General features: G+C 45.4%; 1 protein-coding gene across 15 annotated transcripts in view, besides 6 other annotated features; it reads right to left on the reverse strand.

Annotated features, from left to right (window-relative positions):
* Nucleotides 1–11,686, reverse strand: part of C2orf42 (chromosome 2 open reading frame 42) — a 41,135-nt gene extending 29,449 nt beyond the window's left edge. For 3 of the 15 annotated variants that reach the window (NR_145969.2, NR_145968.2, NM_001348759.2), the window contains exons 1-4: nucleotides 11,585–11,686; nucleotides 3,334–3,602; nucleotides 1,830–2,664; nucleotides 199–309 (exon numbers count right to left, since the gene is read on the reverse strand). Coding sequence is in view for 9 of the 15 variants with exons in the window: in NM_001348759.2 (NP_001335688.1) it covers nucleotides 199–309; nucleotides 1,830–2,652 (934 nt within the window). In the remaining 6 variants the exon portion in view is untranslated. Of the gene's footprint in view, nucleotides 1–198; nucleotides 310–1,829; nucleotides 2,665–3,333; nucleotides 3,603–10,850 lie in introns of all 15 variants that reach the window. The other 12 variants (NR_145971.2, NR_145972.2, NM_001348763.2 and 9 more) reach the window with 8 other exon arrangements.
* Nucleotides 1,961–2,360: an enhancer, noted in NCBI's record as "active region_16002". NCBI's record gives its function as "activates an Ori minimal core promoter by ATAC-STARR-seq in GM12878 lymphoblastoid cells {active_cell/tissue: GM12878}" and the evidence as "EXISTENCE:reporter gene assay evidence [ECO:0000049][PMID:35858748]".
* Nucleotides 11,085–11,194: an enhancer, noted in NCBI's record as "active region_16003". NCBI's record gives its function as "activates an Ori minimal core promoter by ATAC-STARR-seq in GM12878 lymphoblastoid cells {active_cell/tissue: GM12878}" and the evidence as "EXISTENCE:reporter gene assay evidence [ECO:0000049][PMID:35858748]".
* Nucleotides 11,285–11,334: an enhancer, noted in NCBI's record as "active region_16004". NCBI's record gives its function as "activates an Ori minimal core promoter by ATAC-STARR-seq in GM12878 lymphoblastoid cells {active_cell/tissue: GM12878}" and the evidence as "EXISTENCE:reporter gene assay evidence [ECO:0000049][PMID:35858748]".
* Nucleotides 11,548–12,133: an enhancer, noted in NCBI's record as "H3K27ac hESC enhancer chr2:70418013-70418598 (GRCh37/hg19 assembly coordinates)". NCBI's record gives its function as "activates a minimal SCP1, AML or CMV promoter by ChIP-STARR-seq in primed H9 embryonic stem cells {active_cell/tissue: H9 hESC(primed)}" and the evidence as "EXISTENCE:reporter gene assay evidence [ECO:0000049][PMID:30033119]".
* Nucleotides 11,925–11,984: an enhancer, noted in NCBI's record as "active region_16005". NCBI's record gives its function as "activates an Ori minimal core promoter by ATAC-STARR-seq in GM12878 lymphoblastoid cells {active_cell/tissue: GM12878}" and the evidence as "EXISTENCE:reporter gene assay evidence [ECO:0000049][PMID:35858748]".
* Nucleotides 12,005–12,094: an enhancer, noted in NCBI's record as "active region_16006". NCBI's record gives its function as "activates an Ori minimal core promoter by ATAC-STARR-seq in GM12878 lymphoblastoid cells {active_cell/tissue: GM12878}" and the evidence as "EXISTENCE:reporter gene assay evidence [ECO:0000049][PMID:35858748]".

Here is a 20,468-nt window from a genome sequence, read left to right on the forward strand (position 1 = left end):
CAAGATGGGAGAATCACTTAAGGCCTGGAGTTCGAGGCCAGCCTGGGCAAGATGGTAAGACCCCTGTCTCTTTATTTTAATAAAAATAAAATAAAATATAGTATTTTCTTATAATTGCTGAGGTTCAGTCAAAGACATAAAACGCAGTAAAACAATCTCTAAAGACAATACCACCAAACCAACCAACCAGACTCTTACCAGATACTTCATCCTTTCTCCTCTTCTTTGACTTAGAGGCAGTAGACTCACAAGCAGATACTGTTGATTCTGAATGGCAACCTAACTGGGGTACAATAATCTCTTTAAGACCTAAAAAAAAGAAGATTTCTGAATTATTAATCCTATCCAAGGGTAAGTATAAGTATAGGCCTCTATGTAGCGAAAAGTTAATTTCTTTTTAAAAATCCCCCAAACGAATTATCCCAGGCTGGGCAACATAGGCAGACCCCAACTCTACAAAAAATAAAAAATTACCACGCCTGTGTTCCCAGCTACTCGAGAGGCTGAAGTGGGAGGATCACTTTAGCCCAGGAGGGTCAAGGCTGTAATGAGCCGTGATTATGTCACTGCATGCCAGCCTGGGCGACAGAGGCAGACGCTGTCTCAAAAAACAAACCAAAAACAAAAACAAAAAAAAAATTATGGAGTGATTGCTTGTTTTAAAATAAGTTCCTTGGGCCGGGTGCGGTGGCTCACGTCTGTAATCCCAGCACTCTGGGAGGCCGAGGCGGGTGGATCACCTGAGGTCAGGAGTTTGAGACCAGCCTGGCCAACATGGTGAAACCTCATCTCTACTAAAAATACAGAAATTAGCCAGGCATGGTGGCACATGCCTGTAGTCCCAGCTACTCAGGAGGCTGAGGCAGGAGAAGCGCTTGAACCCAGGAGGTGGAGATTGCAGTGAGCTGAGATTGCGCCATTGCATTCCAGCCTGGGTGACAGAGTGAGACTCCATCTCAATAAATATATAAATAAATAAATAAGTTCCTTTAGACTGGGTGCAGTGGCTCATGCCTGTAATCCCAGTACTTTGGGAGGCTGAGGCAGGCAGATCACCTGAGGCCAGGAGTTTGAGACCAGCCTGGCCAACATGGAGAAACCCTGTCTCTACTAAAAATACAAAAATTGGTCAGGCATGGTGGCAGGCGCCTGTAATCCCGGCTACTTGGGAGACTGAGGCATGAGGATTCCTTGAACCCAGGAGGCAGGGGTTGCGGTGAGCCAAGGTTGTGCTACTGCACTCCAGCGTTTGTGATGGAGCAAGATTCTGTCTCAAAAAAAAAAAAAAAAAAAAAAAATCAAGAGATTCTGTCTCTTGATCATTAATTTCAACCAACCAACCAACCTTTATGCAAGTGTGCTGACTGAGACTGAAAGAAGGAATGCAACCAGGTGTGGCGGCTCACACCTGTGATCTCAGCACTTTGGGAGGTTGAGGCAGGAGGACTGCTTCAGCCCAGGAGTTCAAGACCAGCCTCGGCAACAAAGTAAGACCCCTATCTGCAAAAAATTAAAAAAATTAGCCAGGCATGGTGGCACGTGCCTGTGGTCCTAGCTATCTGCGGGGACTGAGGTGGTAGGATCTCGAGCCTGGGAGGTCAAGGCTGCTGTGAGCTGTGATCAGGCCACTGCACTCTAGCCTGGGCAACAAAGTGAGACCTTGTCTCAAAAAAAAAAAAAAAAAAAAAAAAAAAGAAGGAACACTTTTCATTTGAATTATCTAGCAACTGTTTCTGAAGGTTGCTAAGACAATCTCCAAATGCATCAGTGGAACTCTTTTCATTGCAGTTTTAGAAAAACGTAATAACCACATCAACCATACCACCTACCGCTGGAATCAAAATTTAGGAAGTCTGAGAATTCCTGAGCCAGTGTCTCATCACTGGCAAAGGCACAGATGCAAGCAAAGAAATGAATGCATCTCTGGGCTGTCTCATCCTTGGAGGCATTTGACTTGTGCGATTTCAGAGTCTGACAGGAGCAGAAGAAGCGGCGCTCAGGCAAGCTTTTGCCACTGACTTTCTGCACAAAAGATGTATGCAAATACCCCAAACTGTGCTTCTGGCTTGCCTTGCATTTCACCACCAAGATGTTTTTAGTAATTCTCTGCACCAGAGGACCTGTGGGTTCCGTGGCCAACTGCCAGATGGTCTGTTTGGTTTCCGGGGAGGCCTGCATTGCATTCAGGACCGAGCTCTTCAGGGTCAGAGGGGTGGCCTCTGCCTGGCAGTTCACCGCCAGCTTGATGTGCTGGCACTGGTTTTCCACAACGCCTTGAGTGGCAGCTTTCAGGCATGAGGGGACATAACACCGTCCAGAGCTCAGCTGAGTGATGATCGTCCCATCCACTGTCTGGATTGTTGTCTCTGAAACCCCGAGCTCCACAAAGCATCGGTAATCAGGGCCCCGGTCTCTTTGCCGCACTGAGTAGACCTGAAGATCAGAGCCTGTAATGATTTTGACAGCTTCAACACTAGGCTGCTTGCGTGCACCGTAGCGGAATATGGTTCCACATGTCTTGTTCTTACAGCTCAGTCCCCGGGTTCCATTGTATGTGCCACATCGGGGACACTTTCTGATTCCCCTCAATGTGGCCTTCCCCAAATCAGATAAGAAAGCTGGGACTTTAGTCCTCAGAGAATTTGGTTCCATTTTTCAGAGGCCCTACAAAAGACAATACATCCAACAGTATGAGTATACCTTCACACACAAAAAGTTAAAATCACTTATGATATTTAGTACAGAAGGCAAAATATAAAAAAGCTATCTACTATTTTTTTTTTTTAGACGGAGTCTCGCTCTGTCGCCCAGGCTGGAGTGCAGCGGCGCGATCTCGGCTCACTGCAACCTCCGCCTCCTGGGTTCAAGTGATTCTCCTGCCTCAGCCTCCCGAATAGCTGGGACTATAGGCACCCGCCACCACGCCCAGCTAATTTTTGTATTTTTAGTAGAGATGGGGTTTGACCATGTTGGCCAGGCTGGCCTCGAACTCCTGACCTTGTGATCCGCCTGCCTCAGCTTCCCAAAGTGCTGGGATTACAGGTGTGAGCCACGGCGCCTGGCTGCTATCCACTATTTTTAAACTGTACCACAAAACAACATAAATTTAAACCTACAAACAAAATGAAAGTGGAAACTGCCTTTCATACCTATTTTTTTAAATCCTAATAATCAAAGCATTTCTCCAGATTTAACTCTGTTCTATATAACAACGGAAGTTAGTTAACCTAATCTTTACATGCCCAGATGTCTAACTTCAGCAAGAATTAGAGAACATGAAAGATGAGTTTTTTTCCCTTCCATCATTCCCCACAAAACCTAGCCCAATCCTACCTGTACCAGCTGCCAAGGCATCTGGAAAACAGTGTAACCTGAATTCATAAGACTTAAAAGGTGTTTCATTAGTTTCTAATGATCAGGTGAAAACACGATCATTTGCAGACTAATGATAACTGCTTAACCCAAAATCTTCTGAAGTTTGAGCTGTATGGTGTAACAATGCAGACATTCTGCCTCCTCCTTCTCCACCAGCCAATGGCAAAGCTTCTGCCCAATGTTCCGCAAATAAGATTCCCACTTCCCTAAGTGGAGATCTTGATAGTCTGCGAGTAAAACAAGAAAAAATATTAAAGTTATACAAAGACAGGATGATTCTTTCGTTAGAAATCAAACAGAATAGGAATCAAAGTCTTTCACAATTACTTGAGAAATATTTGACAGAAATGATTATGGAAATGGGTTAAGTGTTTTGTACTTCCAACTGTAAGGAAGGTAAAAAGGTGCTAATGTCATTACAAAGGGGGTTGTCAAGAACACTTTAGAGGTCTGGCATGGTGGCTCACTCCTGTAATCCCAGAGATTTAGGAAGCTGAGGTGGAGGATCACTTGAGCCCAGGAGTTCAAGACCAGCCTGGACAACATAGTGAGACCTCATTTCTATAAAAAAATTTAAAAATTAGCTGGGCATGGTGGTGTGCACCTGTAGTCCCAGCTACGTTGGAGGCAGAGGTGGGAGGATCACCTGAGTCCAGGAGAGCAAGGCTGCAAATTGTGCCATTATACCCCAGCCTTGGCGACAGAGCAGGACCCCATCTCTTTTTTTTTTTCTTCTTTGAGATGGAGTCTCACTCTGCTCACCCAGGCTGGAGTGCAGTGGCGCAATCTCGGCTCACTGCAACCTCCACTTCCCAGATTCAAGCGATTCTCCTGCCTCAGCCTCCTTAGTAGCTGGGACTACGGGCACATGCCACCATGCCCGGCTAATTTTTTGTATTTTTAGTAGAGACGGGGTTTCACTGTGTTTCGATCTCCTGACCTCGTGATCTGCCCACCTCAGACTCCCAAAGTGCTGGGATTACAGGCGTGAGCCAATGCGCCCGGCCGACCCCATCTCTTTAAAAAAAAAAAAAAAGAACACACCTAGAGCTATGTTATATAATTGGTCAATAACTCATCCTTCCTAATAGTAATACATCACATTTTGAGTGCTTTATGCATTTTTCTGCTCTCTTACCCAGGCTGGAGTGCAGTGGTGTGATCACAGCTTACTGCAGACTCAACCTCCTGGGCTCAAGTGATCTTCCTGCCTCAGCCTCCCAAGTAGCTGAAACTATAGGTACATGCTGCCATGCCTGGCTAATTTTTAAAAAATTTTTTGGTAGAGACAGGGGTCTCACTTTGTTGCTCAGGCTGGTCTCGAACTCCTGGCCTCAAGCGCTCCTCCTGCCTTGTCCTCTTAAAGTGCTGGGATTATAAGTGTGAGCCACACAGCTTCATTTACTCAGTAAAAATTACAGTCGGGGACTAGTTCATAGCACCAATGAAAAGGTGGACATTTTAAAACTATTCTTATTTGTACTTTCCAATTTGTTAATCAGTGGATAGAAGATGTAGAGAGAAAAAAAAATTGTTTTGAGACAGTCTTGCTCTGTCACCCAGGATGGAGTGCAGTGACGTGATCTCGATTCACTGCAACCTCCGCCTCCCGGGCTCAAGCAATTCTCTGGCTAATTTTTGTATTTTTAGTAGAGATGTGGTTTCACCATGTTGGCCAGGCTGGTTTTGAACTCCTGACCTCCAGTGATCTGCCCGCCTTGGCCTCCCAAAGTGCTGGGATTACAGACATGAACCACTGTGCCTGGCCCTATTTTTTTTTTTTTTTTTTTTTTTTTTGAGACAGAGTCTCACTCTGTTGTCAAAGATGGAGTGCAGATCATGGCTCACTGCAGCCTTGACCTCCCAAGGTCAAGCAATCCTCCTGCCTCAGACTCTCAAATAGCTGAGACCACAGGTACGTGCCACTACACTCAGCTAATTATAAATTTTTTATAGAGATGGGGGTCTCACTATGTTGCCCAGGCTGGCTTTGAACTCCTGGGCTCAAGCAATCCTCCTGCCTCGGCCTCCCAAAGTTCTGGGATTACAGGTGTGAGCCACCATGCCCAGTGGTCTCTATTCTTCTTAAAAAATGTTTTAGGCCGGGCGCAGTGGCTCATGCCTGTAATCCCAGCACTTTGGGAGGCCGAGGTGGGTGGATCACAAGGTCAGGAGATCAAGACCATCCTGGCTAACACAGTGAAACCCTGTCTCTACTAAAAATACAAAAAATTAGCCGGGCGTGGTGGCGGGCACCTGTAGTCCCAGCTACTTGGGAGGCTGAGGCAGGAGAATGGCGTGAACCCGGGAGACAGAGCTTGCAGTGAACCGAGATCATGCCACTGCACTCCAGCCTGGGCGACAGAGTGAGACTCCATCTCAAAAAAAATAAAAATAAAAAAATGTTTTAGGCTGGGCGCAGTGGCTCGTGCCTGTAATCCCACCACTTTGGGAGGCCGAGGCGGGTGGAACACCTGAGGGCAGGAGTTCAAGACTAGCCTGGCCAACATGGTAAAACCCTGTCTCTACTAATAATACAAACAAAAAAAATTATCTGGGCGTGGTGGTGCACGTCTGTAATCCCAGCTACTCCGGAGGCTGAGGCAGGGGAATCACTTGAACCTGGGAGGCAGAGGTTGCAGTGAGCTGAGATCACGCCATTGCACTCCAGCATGGGTGACAAGAGTGAAATTCCGTGTCAAAAAAAAAGTTTTAAAAAGACTAGGCACAGTGGCTCACACCTGTAATTGCCAGCACTTTGGGAGGCTGAGGTGGGAGGGTCACTTGAGGCCAGGAGTTCGAGACCAGCCTAGCCAACATGATGAAAACCTGTGTCTACTAAAAATACAAAAATTAGGCAGGCATGATGGCACATGTCTATAACCCCAGCTACTCAGGAGGCTGAGGCATGAGAATTGCTTGAACACAGGAGGCAGAGAGGTTGCAGTGAGCCAAGATCGCACCACTGCACTTCAGCCTGGGAAACAGAGTGAGACTTTGTCACAAAAAAAAATATATATATATACACACACACACAAACACACACACACATACATATATACACACATATATATATATACACACACACATATATATATATATTTTAAGGAAAACAAGTGCTTTGTGAAATAAGATGCATAGCAGGGTTTCTCCACCTTGGCACTGCTGACATTTAGGACTGGATAATTCTTTGTTGTGGGGGCTATCCTATGCATTGCAGAATGTTTAACAGTATCCCTGGTTTCTACCCACTAGATCCCGGTAGCAGGCCCCATCCCTAATTGTAAAAAAAAAAAAAAAAAAAAAGTCTCCAGATAATGCCAAATGTCCTCTGGAGGCAAAACTGCCCCAGTTAAAAGCCACTGATGTAGAGTCATTAGCCTGTTCACACAGCATTCCTTCCTAGCTCAATGAACTTCTTTAGTAGGTATTCTCATTCAGTCCCACATGGATTCTTAGAATATTGTTCCAAAGTCAAAACATGAAGGATCAGTTTGCTTTTTACCATGAACGATCTCTGTGACCAAGTCCTTTAACTTCTGAGCTTCAGGATTTTTTCATCTGCAAAGCTACGATACGACATATATATACGTATATGTATATATACACACACACACACACATATATACAATTTGTATATATGAAAGAGCTTAGAAAAAATTAATTTAAAAATTATGTTGCTAATGATGATTTAACATATCAAAGTGGAAAAAAACCTTTCTGTCATATCATTAAAAAGTCAGGAAACAACATGTGCTGGAGAGGATGTGGAGAAATAGGAAGACTTTTACACTGTTGGTGGGACTATAAACTAGTTCAACCATTGTGGAAGTCAGTGTGGCGATTCCTCAGGGATCTAGAACTAGAAATACCATTTGACCATCCCATTACTGGGTATATACCCAAAGGACTATAAATCATGCTACTATAAAGACACATGCACACGTATGTTTATTGCGGCACTATTCACAATAGCAAAGACTTGGAACCAACCCAAATATCCAACAATGATAGACTGGATTAAGAAAATGTGGCACATATACACCATGGAATACTATGCAGCCATAAAAAATGATGAGTTCATGTCCTTTGTAGGGACATGGATGAAACTGGAAATCATCATTCTCAGTAAACTATCGCAAGGACAAAAAACCAAACACCGCATGTTCTCACTCATAGATGGGAATTGAACAATGAGAACACATGGACACAGGAAGGGGAACATCACACTCTGGGGACAGTTGTGGGGTGGGGGGAGGAGGGAGGGATAGCATTAGGAGATATACCTAAGGCTAGATGACGAGTTAGTGGGTGCAGCACACCAGCATGGCACATGTATACATATGTAACTAACCTGCACATTGTGCACATGTACCCTAAAACTTAAAGTATAATAATAATTAAAAAACAAAACAAAACAAAAAAAAAACCTTTCTGTCATTAAGGGAGGAGGTGGTTTGCCAGCTGTTGGTGCTGTAGCTTTAGCATAGGAATAGCTGTAGCATCAACAATGGAGTTCCACTCTTTTATCTTTTCTTTTACTTTTGTTGTTGTTGTTGACAACGGAGTTTCGCTCTTGTTGCCCAGGCTGGAGTGCAATGACGCAATCTCAGCTCACTGCAACCTCCGCCTCCCGGGTTCAAGTGATTCTCCTGCCTCAGCCTCCTGAGTAGCGGGGATTACAGGTACCTGCTACCACGCCCAGCTAACTTTTTTGTATTTTTAGTAGAGACAGGGTTTCACCATGTTGGCCAGGCTGGTCTCAAATTCCCGACCTCAAGTGATCTGCCTGCCTCGGCCTCTCAAGTGCTGGGATTACAGGCATGAGCCACTGTGCCCAGTCTTTTCTTTTACTTTTTGATTATGCCCTCCAGCAGGCGATTTGTGAGTATCTTTAACATTATAAATCCATATTTCTTTATTAAAAATGCTTTCAATTTTGCAATAATTTTAGAAAATTTATTTCAACACATTTATTACATTTTAGTTTTTTTTAAATTGAGACGGAGTCTCACTTTGTCACCCAGGCTGGAGTGCAGTGGCGTGATCTCACCTCACTGCAACCTCCGCCTCCCGGGTTCAAGCAATTCTCCTGCCTCAGCCTCCCGATTAACTGAGACTACAGGCACATGCCACCACGCCCAGCTAATTTTTGTATTTTTAGTAGAGACGGGGTTTCACCATGTTGGCCAGGCTGGTCTCGAACTCCTGACCTCAGATGATCCACCCACCTCGGCCTCCCAAAGCTCTGGGATTACAGGCATAAGCCACCATACCCGACTGCATTTTGGCTTTTATAGGAAAGCTAAAGACAGTACAGAGACTTCCTACCTACCTTTCACACAGACTCCCCAAATGTTAACATCTCACATAACTATGGGGCATTTGTCAAAAATAAGGTCTTAACATTGGTACAACACTATTAACTCTACTACAGGCTTTATTCAGATTTTACCAGTTGTCCACTAATGCCCCTTTTTATTTTATTTATTTTTTTGAGACGGAGTCTTGCTCTGTCACCCAGGCTGGAGTGCAGTGGCGTGATCTTGGCTCACTGCAACCTCTGCCTCCCGGGTTCAAGCAATTCTCCTGCCTCAGCCTCCTGAGTAGCTGGGATTACAGGCGTCCACCACCAAGCCCGGCTAATTTTTCTGTATTTTTAGTTGAGACGGGGTTTCTCCATGTTGGCCAGGCTGGTCTCGAACTCCTGACCTCAAGTGATCTGCCTGTCTCGGCCTCCCAAAGTACTGGGATTACAGGCGTGAGCCGCTATGCCTGGCCTCAATCTCCCTTTTAAAAAAGAATAAATCTTTTAGACTAATTTTAGATTTTCAGAAAAGTGGCAGATAGAACACAGTTCCCAAACACCACTCACCCAGTTTCCCAATGTTAACATCATATATAAACATGGGACATTTGTCAAAACCAAGGGACCAACATTGCCACATTATTATTAACTGAACTCTAGACTTTGCCCCTTTTTTCTGTTTCTGGATCAAATCCAAGATACCACATTGCATTGAGTCATCACGTCTCCTTAGTCCCCTCAAGTCCGTGAGTTTGTCTTTCTTTTTCCTAATCTTGACAGTTTTGAAGAGTCGAATATTTTACAAAATGTCCCTCAATTTGAGCTTGTTTGATATCTTCCTTGCATATTTGGAATCAGTATATTTTGATTTGATATTCTGACCCAGCAATTACACTACTAAGAATTTATTTTACAGACTGACTCCCACATGTGTGAAATGAGGGAAATTATAAGGCAACTCAATGAAGAATATTTGTAGCAGCAAAATATAAGAAACAACCTGATGTCCCTCAAGAAGATACTGGTGTAATTAATTATGGTATGCCTACAAAATGGAATACTTCCCAGAAAATAAAATATTTTTACAGCTGTTTAAAAAAAAATGGCATGGCCGGGCACGGTGGCTCACACCTGTAATCCCAGCACTTTGGGAGGCGAGGCAGGCGGATCACCTGAGGTCGGGAGTTCCTGACCAGCCTGAACAACATGGAGAAACCCTATCTCTACTAAAAATACAAAATTAGCCGGGCGTGGTGACGTATGCCTGTAATCCCAGCTACTCCGGAGGCTGAGGCAGGAGGATCGCTTGAACCCGGGAGCCAGAGGTTGCGGTGAGCCAAGATCGTGCCATTGCACTCCAGCCTGGGGAACAAGAGAGAAACTCCATCTCAAAAAAAAAAAAAAAAAAAAAAAAAAATGGGCCGGGCGCGGTGGCTCACGCCTGTAATCCCAGCACTTTGGGAGGCCGAGGCGGGCAGATCACAAGGTCAGGAGATCGAGACCATCCTGGCTAACACAGTGAAACCCTGTCTCTACTAAAAATACAAAAAATTAGCTGGGCGAGGTGGCGGGCGCCTGTAGTCCCAGCTACTAGGGAGGCTGAGGCAGGAGAATGGCGTGAACCCTGGGGGGTGGAGCCTGCAGTGAGCCGAGATCGTGCCACTGCACTCCAGCCTGGGCGACAGCGAGACTCCGTCTCAAAAAAAAAAAAAAAAAAATGGCCTGAGTAGCTGGACGTGGTGGCTCACGCCTGTAATCCCAGCACTTTGGGAGGCTGAGGCGGGAGGATCACTGAGCTCAGGAGTTCAAGACCAGCCTGGGCAACATAGTGAGACCCTGTCTCTTAAAAAAAAAAAAAGATACACTGTGGAGTGAAAAAAGTGCAGCACTTTGTAATATGCTATTCTTGGTTTTACTCTTTTAAAAGAAAAAAAAAAAGACGAGAGATACACATATGTATCTATCTAGACACACACACATACAATGTCTATTGCATCAGAAGAAACGACATGGGATTTGGGAAACAGAAGTTAGGAGGGAGACTTACATCTCACTGTTTGGCAGTATTTGAATTTTAAAACATGTACTAGTATTACTTCCTAGAGACTCTATATCGAAAGCATATACAAACAATTAACACAACTTGTAAAGAACGTGGATTTGAAACCTGAAAGATCTGCTGGGTATTCTCTTCTCAGCAAGTTTACAAATCAGCCTCCTCGGCGGGAGAGTGTCAAGGGACTGGTGTTGGAAGCGTTAACCCGCGATGGGTTTCCATCCAACCACTACCCAGACCTAAATGTTTGGTGGATTCTGTTTCATGCTTGTGAGGCACAGTTAGGGGAAAAGAACAAATGATCATTACGGATAAATAATAAAACTAGCTGAGTACACTGCGTGTTAAATCCTTTCTATGCATGTACTGCCCACACGATCCTGTGAGGTAGATACTATGTTACCCATCTTAGAGATGAGGAAACTGTTACTCAGATTTGACGGAAGCGTCACAGCCAGCAGGTAACTCACAAACGTGGGTTTGTAGTCGGCTGGATGGCTTGCCAAACCACAAGTGGGAGGATGGAGCACATCAGCCCTCAACGGCCTCGGAACAGCGGAGGAAGACCGCCGGGGCCCTGCAGTCAACGGAGCGGCCGCCCGACTCCGGGACGCTCACCTCCCGGCCGGCTTCCGGGATGGGTCTGCAGCGACACACACATATCCCCTGGGACCTGCTTCCCGGCATCCTCCCCGCGCGAGCGCTCACTTCCGGTCCCAAGTAGGCCCAGGCAGAAGCATCACCTCGCCGGCAGCCGCTCCTTGGACATGCTTTCCGCTGGGAACCCGAGCTCTACACCCCTGCCCCACCGCCGCCCCGGTCCTTGCTCAGCACTACCCCCTTACCTGCCCTGCGCACCCCCCGCGAGCCCCGGGGCCCTTAGCTGACGACCGCCCTCACCTCTTCTCTCTTCGCCTGCCGCGGCCTTTTACAAACGGGGCCAAACTGTTCGCTGTAACGACAATCGTTATTGGTCAGAGCCGCCCACGCGCGGCAAGTGGCCGCCCACCTGAGCTCGCGTTGTCTTATGGGAGTTTTAGTTCTCTCCTTCAGAGACCGCTGAGACACTGGGGGAATGCGGTGGTAGAACATACGCCGACCTAGCGGCTGTAAAGCTCAGGCTCTGCCTTGGAGTTGGAGTGCTTCTGGCCTATCTTACTGGGCGCTCACCTCCAAGGCTCGTCTTGACTCCCTTCTGGCCTGAGAGAGTCCTATTTCTGAATAGACTTTTGCTGGTAATTGATGCAAAAATGACTTGAGTTGCTGGACGTGGTGGCTCACGCTTGTAATCCCAGCACTTTGGGAGGCTGAGGCGGAGGATCTCTTGAGGCTAGGAGTTCGAGACCAGCCTGAGCGACATAGCGAGACCCTGTCCTTACAAAAAATGAAAATTAAAAAAAAAATCGCCCGAGATTTTCTACATTATTAGCAGATGTCAGCTGCGAATTTGGAGTTTGTTTGGAGGTTCTTGCCCACCTGAGTATTCACCTCTATCACATGTATGTTTATGACAAGTTAACTTTTTCTCCCTTAAGTACACTTTGAACTACACTTGAACGTTTTCTCTTAAAATGAGATAAAAAAGAGCTTCCTGTATATCTTAGTTCTGGTCCTTGGAATCACGGAATAAATCTAAATGCTCATCGTTCATGATTGAAGATAGCTCCCGAGTGCAATGTGTTCATGGTGAGGCCACTGTGTTGGAAAACCCTGGAATGAGGTTTTCTGCTCTCCTGACCCTAGTCTGGCTACTTACTAGTGGTAGCAGGTTAATTTACTATTGGGAAACCTTAGTCAACTATTTATAAGAGAAGTGGAACGTTCCGGCCGGGCGTCGTGGCTCACGGCTGTAATCCCAGCACTTTGGGAGGCCGAGGCGGGCGGATCACAAGGTCAAGAGATCGAGACCATCCTGGCCAACATGGTGAAACCCTGTCTCTCTACTAATACAAAAAAAAAAAGTTAGCTGGGCGTGGTAGCGCGTGCGGGTAGTCCCAGCTACTCGGGGCACTAAGGCAGGAGAATCGCTTGAACCTGGGAGGCTGAGGTTGCAGTGAGCTGAGATCGCGCCACTGCACTCCAGCCTGGCGACAGAGCGACTCCGTCTAAAAAATAAATAAATAAAATAAAAAAAGAGAAATGGAACATTCCAGGACTAATGTTTGTAGTATTAGTTCTTAAACTGGAAAGAGAGGGAGAGGGACACAATTTTTCCAGAAGACTTTTTAGTTTTCTTTCCATTTATTATGTAAACTAAAAATAAAATCCCATGCCCCACAGCCAACTGAATGAACCCTCACCCCTTGGCCAAGGGGATGTTAAACTGAATTCTGAATTCTCCTGGGTGGAAAGGGAGGTCGGACATGCCTCCTTATACTCCCTCTTTTGGAGTTTAGGCACAACTGACCACCATTAATGTTAAAAGAGAAATTATAAGAATGGCAGAACAGACTCTCTGTAGCAATAGAATACCAAATAATAAACAAGACCAAAGGCCATGCAAGGCAAGAATTAAGCCACACCCTACAAACCATAACATCTTTTTAAATGAGTTTTTAAATTAACCCTGTATCGTGTGGCTTACTTTCCAGCCTGAATCAGGTATAGCACCACATGATAAAAAGCAGATGCCCCACCCTTATAATGTAAGCATTCCTTTGTACTGACTTCGAGTCCTTAGACAAAGCTTAACTCTATTTTTTTTTTTTTTTTTTTTTTTTTGAGAAGGAGTCTCCCTCTGTTGCCCAAGCTGGAGTGCAGTGGCATGATCTCAGCTCACTACAACCTCCGCCTCTGGGATTCAAGTGATTCTCCCACCTGAGCCTCCCGCGTAGCTGAGATTACAGGTGCATGCCACCACACCCGGCTAATTTTTGTATGTTTCAGAGAGATGGGGTTTCACCATTTTGGTCAGGCTGGTCTCGAACTCCTGACCTGAAATGATCCACCTGCCTGGGCCTCCCAAAGTGCTGGGATTACGGCAGTGAGCCATGGCGCTCTACCAAAGCTGAACTCCTTCAACCAATTGCCAACTAAAGAATCCCTAGGCGGGACACGATGGCTCACCGCATCTGGCCTTTTTCCTTTTTCCTTTTTTTTTTTTTGAGACAGAGTCTCGCTCTGTTGCCCAGGCTGGAGTGCAGTGGCGCAATCTCGGCTCACTGCAAGCTCCACCTCCCGGGTTCACACCATTCTCCTGCCTCAGCCTCCCCAGTAGCTGGGATTACAGGCACCCGCCACCGCACCCGGCTAATTTTTGTATTTTTAGTAGAGACAGGGTTTCACCATTTTGGCCAGGCTGGTCTTGAGCTCCTGACCTCATGATCCACCCACCCTGGCCTCCCAAAGTGCTGGCATTACAGGTGTGAGCCACTGCACCCGGCTCCGCCCCCCCCCTTTTTTTTTTTTTTTTTAATTTTTGAGACAGGGTCTTACTCTGCTGCCCAGGCTGGAGTGCAGTGGCGTGATCTGCAGTCTCAATTTCTCAAGCTCAATTGATCCTCCCTCCTAAGCCTCCTGGGTAGCTGAGACTACAGGAGCTCGCCACCATGCCCAGCTAATTTTTGTATTTTTTGTAGAGATTGGGGGTGGTGGTGGGTCTCTCTGTGTTGCTCAGGCAGTGGTCTTGAACTGGCCCCAGGCAATCCTCCCACCTCAGCCTCCCAAAGTTGCTGGGATTACAGGCATGAGACACCATGCTCGGCTAAAGCCATTTTCAATGAAAAGAATTTGGCCAGATATACAGTGGCTCACACCTGTAATCCCAGCACTTTGGGAGGCCGAGGTGGGCGGATCACCTAGGTCAGGAGTTTGAGACCAGCCTGGTCAACGTGGCAAAACTCCCTCTCTACTAAAAATACAAAAATTAGTGGGGTGTGGTGGTGGGCGCCTGTGATCCCAGCTACCTGGGAAGCTGAGGCAGGAGGATCGCTTGAACCTGGGAGGCAGAGGTTGCAGTGAGCTGAGATGGCACCACTGCACTCCTGCCTGGACAACAGAGTAAGACTCCATCTCAAAAAAAAAAAAAAAAAAAAAAAGGGCGGGCACGGTGGCTCACGCCTGTAATCCCAGCACTTTTGGAGGCCGAGGCGGGTGGATCATGAGGTCAGGAGATCGAGACCATCCTGGCTAACACGGTGAAACCCCGTCTCTACTAAAAATACAAAAAAATTAGCCAGTCGTGGTGGCGGGCGCCTGTAGTCCCAGCTATTGGGGAGGCTGAGGCAGAAGAATCGCCTGAACCCGGGAGGCAGAGGTTGCAGTGAGCCAAGATCGCACCACTGCACTCCAGCCTGGGTGACAGAGTGAGACTTCGTCTCAAAAAAAAAAAAAAGAAAAAAAAAGAATTTATATGCTATTTGCACATTAGAGCAGATATTCATAGTTCTTTGATTTTTGCCAACTGACAATAATTATTTTTTAACTTCTCTCATCCTTCTAGCCCCTGTTATCATTTCTTTTTCTTTTTCTTTTTCTTTTTTTTTTTTGAGACGGAGTTTCGCTCATTGTTGCCCAGGCTGGAGTGCAATGGCGCGATCTCAGCTCACCTTAAACTCTGCCTCCCAGGTTCAAGCGATTCTCCTACCTCAGCCTCCCGAATAGCTGGGATTACAGGCATGCGCCACCACGCCCGGCTAATTTTGTATTTTTAGTAGAGATGGGGTTTCTCCATGTTGGTCAGGCTGTCCTCAAACTCCTGACCTCTGGGATTCACCCGAATCAACCTCCCAAAGAGCTGGGATTACAGGTGTGAGACACCGCTCCTGGTGCCCTGTTGTCATTTTAATCCAATATTTTTTTCTTTTAAAAAATTTTTTGGAGTATTGGTACATGCCTGTAATCTCAATTATTTGGGAAGCTGATGCAGGAGTATTGCTTGAGCTCAGAAGTTTAAGAGTTTGAGGCCAGCCTGGGCAACATAGCAAGACCCCTTCTCTTAAAAATAAAGTATTGATACATAATAGATGTACATATTTTGGGGGTACATGTAATAATTTAATAAATTCATATAATCTGTAAAGATCAAATCAGTGTAACTGGGATATCCATCACCCTAAATATTTGTCTTTATGTTAGAAACATTGAATTATTCTCTTCTATTTTGAAATGTACAACAGATTATTATTGTAAGCTATAGTCACCCTATGATCTATCAAACATGATGTCTTATTTCTTCTACTAAACTGTATACTTGTACTCATTAATCAACCTTTCTTCATCCCTTCCTGACCCCCTTAAATCACTATTTTTTTTTTTTTAGATGGAGTTTCGCTCTTTTGCCCAGGCTGGAGTGAAGTGGTGCAATCTCGGCTCACTGCAACCTCCGCCCCCCAGGTTCAAGCGGTTCTCCTGCCTCAGCCTCCCAAGTAGCAGGGATTATAGGCACCCACAACCACACCTGGCTAATTTTTTTTTTTTTTTTTTTTTTTTTTTGAGAGGGAGTCTTGCTCTGTCACCCAGGCTGGAGTGCAGTGGTGCGATCTTGGCTCACTACAACCTCCGCCTCCCGGGTTCAACTGATTTTCCTGTCTCAGACTCCCGAGTAGCTGGGACTCTAGTTGCCTGCCACCACGCCCGGCCAATTTTTGTATTTTTAGTAGAGACAGGTTTCACCATATTGGCCAGGCTGGTCTCGAACTCCTGACCTTGTGATCCTCCCACCTTGGCCTCCCAAAGTGCTGGGATTACAGGCGTGAGCCACTGTGTCTGGCTGTACCCTTCATATTTTGTACCCTCTTCTTGTACTGTTCCGAATTACAGATTCTCTTCTTCAGCTGTATCTAATTTGTTTAGTCAGCCTATTGAATTTTTAATTTAAGCTATTGTATTTTTAATTTCTAGAGGTTCTATTAGTTTTTCAAAAATCTGCCTAATCATTTGACAGTCATTTCTTCCTTGTTCATATTTGTATTACATCTTTTATTTTTAAAGACATGAAATGTAGTTATTACAAATTCAATATGTGATTTTCTAAAGTTCTTGTAGGTCCAGTTCTGCTGTTCTTTGTTTCTGTTGGATCTCTTGTAGAGTCTTGTTTCCTCATGTGTTTCATAGGTTTTTTGTTTGTTTGTTTTTTGAGACGGAGTTTTACTCTCACCCAGGCTGGAGTGCAGTGGTGCAATCTCGTCTCACTGCAACCGCTGCCTCCTAGGTTCAAGTGATTCTCCTGCCTCAGCCTCCCGAGTAGCTGGGATTACAGGCATGCACCACTACATCTGGCTAATTTTTGTATTTTTAGTAGAGATGGAGTTTCACCATGTTGGCCAGGCTGGTCTCGATCTCCTGACCTCAAGTGACCTGCCCACCTCTCAGAGTGCTGGGATTACTGGCGTGAGCCACCGCGCTTGGCCGTGTTTGATAGTTTTTTATTGTGAACTCACACCTGATTATTTTGTTTTATTTTATTATTATTTTTTTGAGACAGAGTCTTGCTCTGTCACCAGGCTGGAGTGCAGTGGTGCGATCTCGGCTCACTGCAACCTCCGCCTCCTGGGTTCAAGTGATTCTCCTGCCTCAGCCTCCCAAGTAGCTGGGACTACAGGCATGTACCACCACACACAGCTAATTTTTGTATTTTTAGTAGAGACAGGGTTTCACCATGTTGGCCAGATGATCTTGATCTCTTGACCTTGTGATTCACCCACCGCAGCCTCCCAACGTGCTGGGATTACAGGTGTGAGCCACCACACCTGGCTTCAAATGATTATTTTAATCTGAGGTAATCCTGAGTGACCTCGGTGGAGGACACATTTTTTCAGAGAGGATTTTTGCATATCAAACTATATAAGGGATTCTTACTAATTGATAAAAAAAAACAGTGAAACAATCTAATGAAGAAATAGACAAAGGATATGAACAGATATCTCACAGAAATAAATACAAATGGCCAATTATCATGAAAAATGACTAACTTTACTTGTAATCAGGGAAATACAGCTAAAGAGATTATTTTACATTCATTGGATTGGCAAAAGATAAAAGCTTGATAACAACCAGCATTGGTGAAGGAATGTAAGGGAAATAAGAGCTTTCTGACATAAATGGTTGGAGCGTAAAACGGTATATGACCTTTTTTTTTCTGAGATGAAGTCTCGCTCTGTCAGCCAGGCTGGAGTGCAATGACCTAATCTTGCCTCACTACAACCTCCACCTCCCAGGTTCAAGCAATTCTCCTGACTCAGCCTCCCCAGTAGTTGGGACTACAGGTGTGCGCCACCACGCCTGGCTGATTTTTGTATTTTTAGTAGAGACAGGGTTTCACCATGTTGACCAACCACCATGTTGGTCTCGAACTCCTGACCTCGGGGGAATCCACCTGCCTTGGCCTCCCAAAGTGCTGGGATTATAGATGTGAGCCACCGCTCCCAGCTGGTATACAGCCTTTTTTTTTTTTTTTTTTTTTTTGATATACAGCATTTTAAGAGGGTAATTTGGCACTATACAATACAATTTTTACAATTCACATTTCCTTAACCCATTCAATTTCTAAGTATCCTAGAAAAACAGTATAGACATGCACAAAAACACATGAATTCTCTTTTTTTTTTTTCTTGAGACAGGGTCTTGTTTTGTTGCCCAGGCTGCAGTGCAGAGGCATGATCACAGCTCACTGCAGTCTCAACCTCCTGGACGCAAATGATCCTCCTACATCAGCCTCCTGAGCAGGTGGAACCACAGGCACATGCCACCATGCCTGGCTATTTTTTTTTAATTTTTTGTAGAGATGAGGTCTTGCTATGTTGCCCAGGCTGGTCTTGAACTCCTGGGCTCAAGTGATCTGCCCACCTCAGCCTTCCAAATTGCTGGGATTACAGGCATGAGCCACCGCACCCGGCCTGCCTCTGCCTCCTTGAACACTAATGATCCTGAGTTTTATCCACAGTCCTCATCTCACTTGGTGATCTCTACTCCAAGGGTTGAACTAACACGTAAACACAGACGATTCCCATTTCTATATCCAGCCCAGATCACCCTCCGAAATTCCATGTCATTACCTACTGGATATTTCTACCTGTGTCACCCACGTCCAATCTCACATATCGAAAGATAAGGCCAGGCGAGGTGGCTCACGCTTGTAATCCCAGCACTTTGGGAGGCCAAGGCAGGCGGATCACCTGAGGTCAGGAGTTCAAGACTAGCCTAGCCAACATGGCGAAACCCCGTCTCTACCCAAAATACAAAAATTAACTGGGTGTGGTGGCACATACCTGTAATCCCAGCCACTTGGGAGGCTGAGGCACGAGAATTGCTTGAACCCAGGAGGCGGACGGAGGCTGCAGTGAGCCGAGATCACACACTGCACTCCAGCCTGGGCAACAGAGTGAGACTCTGTCTGAAAAAAAAAAAGGTAAGACTAATTTGCTCTCATCTCCTGCTCTCTCACCATGATAGCTCCTGTCCTTACTCACTCTCACAAACATGCTTCTCTGCCTTCTCACATCCCAGTAACTAAGGATCCACCATGCATCTAACTGCTCATCAAGTCTGCAACCTGGAACACGTCTTGACTAAATACAAATTGGATCAGTGGCTCCCTGGGGTCTTCAGGATAAAAAAAGTTTAAATGACATCACATGGCTTAAAGAACTTGGCCCTGATTTGGTCCTTCAATGCCAGCTTTTTATTAACTTACTCCCAGTACTCCAGCTGGTAGTACTGTCCACACGAGGTGGAAAGCCATTTGGTCAAAACTAGATTGTTTGAAATAACAATTTAATTAACTCATTCATTAATCAATTAATTCAACATTTATTAAGCTTTATTATTTACCATGTACTGGATATTATGGCATTGAAGAAATAGTCACCAGGCCAGGAGCAGTGGCTCATGCCTGTAATCCCAGCACTTTGGGAGGCTGAGGCTGGCAGATCACTTGAGGGCAGGAGTTCGAGACCAGCGTGGCCAACATGGTGAAACCCCGTTTCTACTAAAAATACAAAAATTAGCTAGGCGTGGTGGCATGCACCTGTAATCCCTGCTACTTGGGAGGCTGAGGCAGAAGAATCACTTGAACCCTGGAGGTAGAGGTTTCAGTGAGCCGAGATTGTGCCACTGCACTCCAGCCTGGGAGACAGAGCAAGACTCTGTCTCAAAGAAAAAAAAAAAAAAAAAGGAAATAGTCATCAGTACTTTAGTTTAGTGGGGAGGACAGGTTTTAAATAAATAACTACATGAATAATTAAATAGAATTAAAAATTATGACAAATGCTATAAAGGAAAAGTATAAGATGGATTGAGACGCTAGTGATTTAGATTGTGGAGTGAAGAAAGGAAGGCCTCTTAGAGGAAGTGACTTAAGTGGAGACTTGAAAGCACAAAATAGGGAAAAGCTGTTCATGTGCAAGGCCCTGAGAAGGGAGTCTCTCAGCCCCCAATTCACTTTTTTTTTTGAAACATTTTTCCTTTGTTGGCTCAATGTTACGCTTTGTCAATAGAGGGCACTTGGGGAACAATGCAGTGATAGTGGAAGGAAGGCACTTCCTTCATGGGTTCTGGTTCTCTTCTCATACTCAGCGTGGGAGCCAATGGATCAGTGTACAGAAGCCCTAGCAGCGCTCACCTCAGTGGTCCTCAGGACCCGCCCCAGCTGCCCCTCATGTGTCCCACCTGCAGCTGCCTCCAAGGCAGCTTTGGCTGCACCACCCTGCAACTGTCTCTAGAATCAACAGAAAAAATATACAGGACACTCCATTAAATTTGAATTTCAGCTAAACAACAATTTTTTATTTT

This window comes from Homo sapiens, chromosome 2, assembly GCF_000001405.40.
Source record: "Homo sapiens chromosome 2, GRCh38.p14 Primary Assembly".
Classification (NCBI taxonomy): domain Eukaryota; kingdom Metazoa; phylum Chordata; class Mammalia; order Primates; family Hominidae; genus Homo; species Homo sapiens.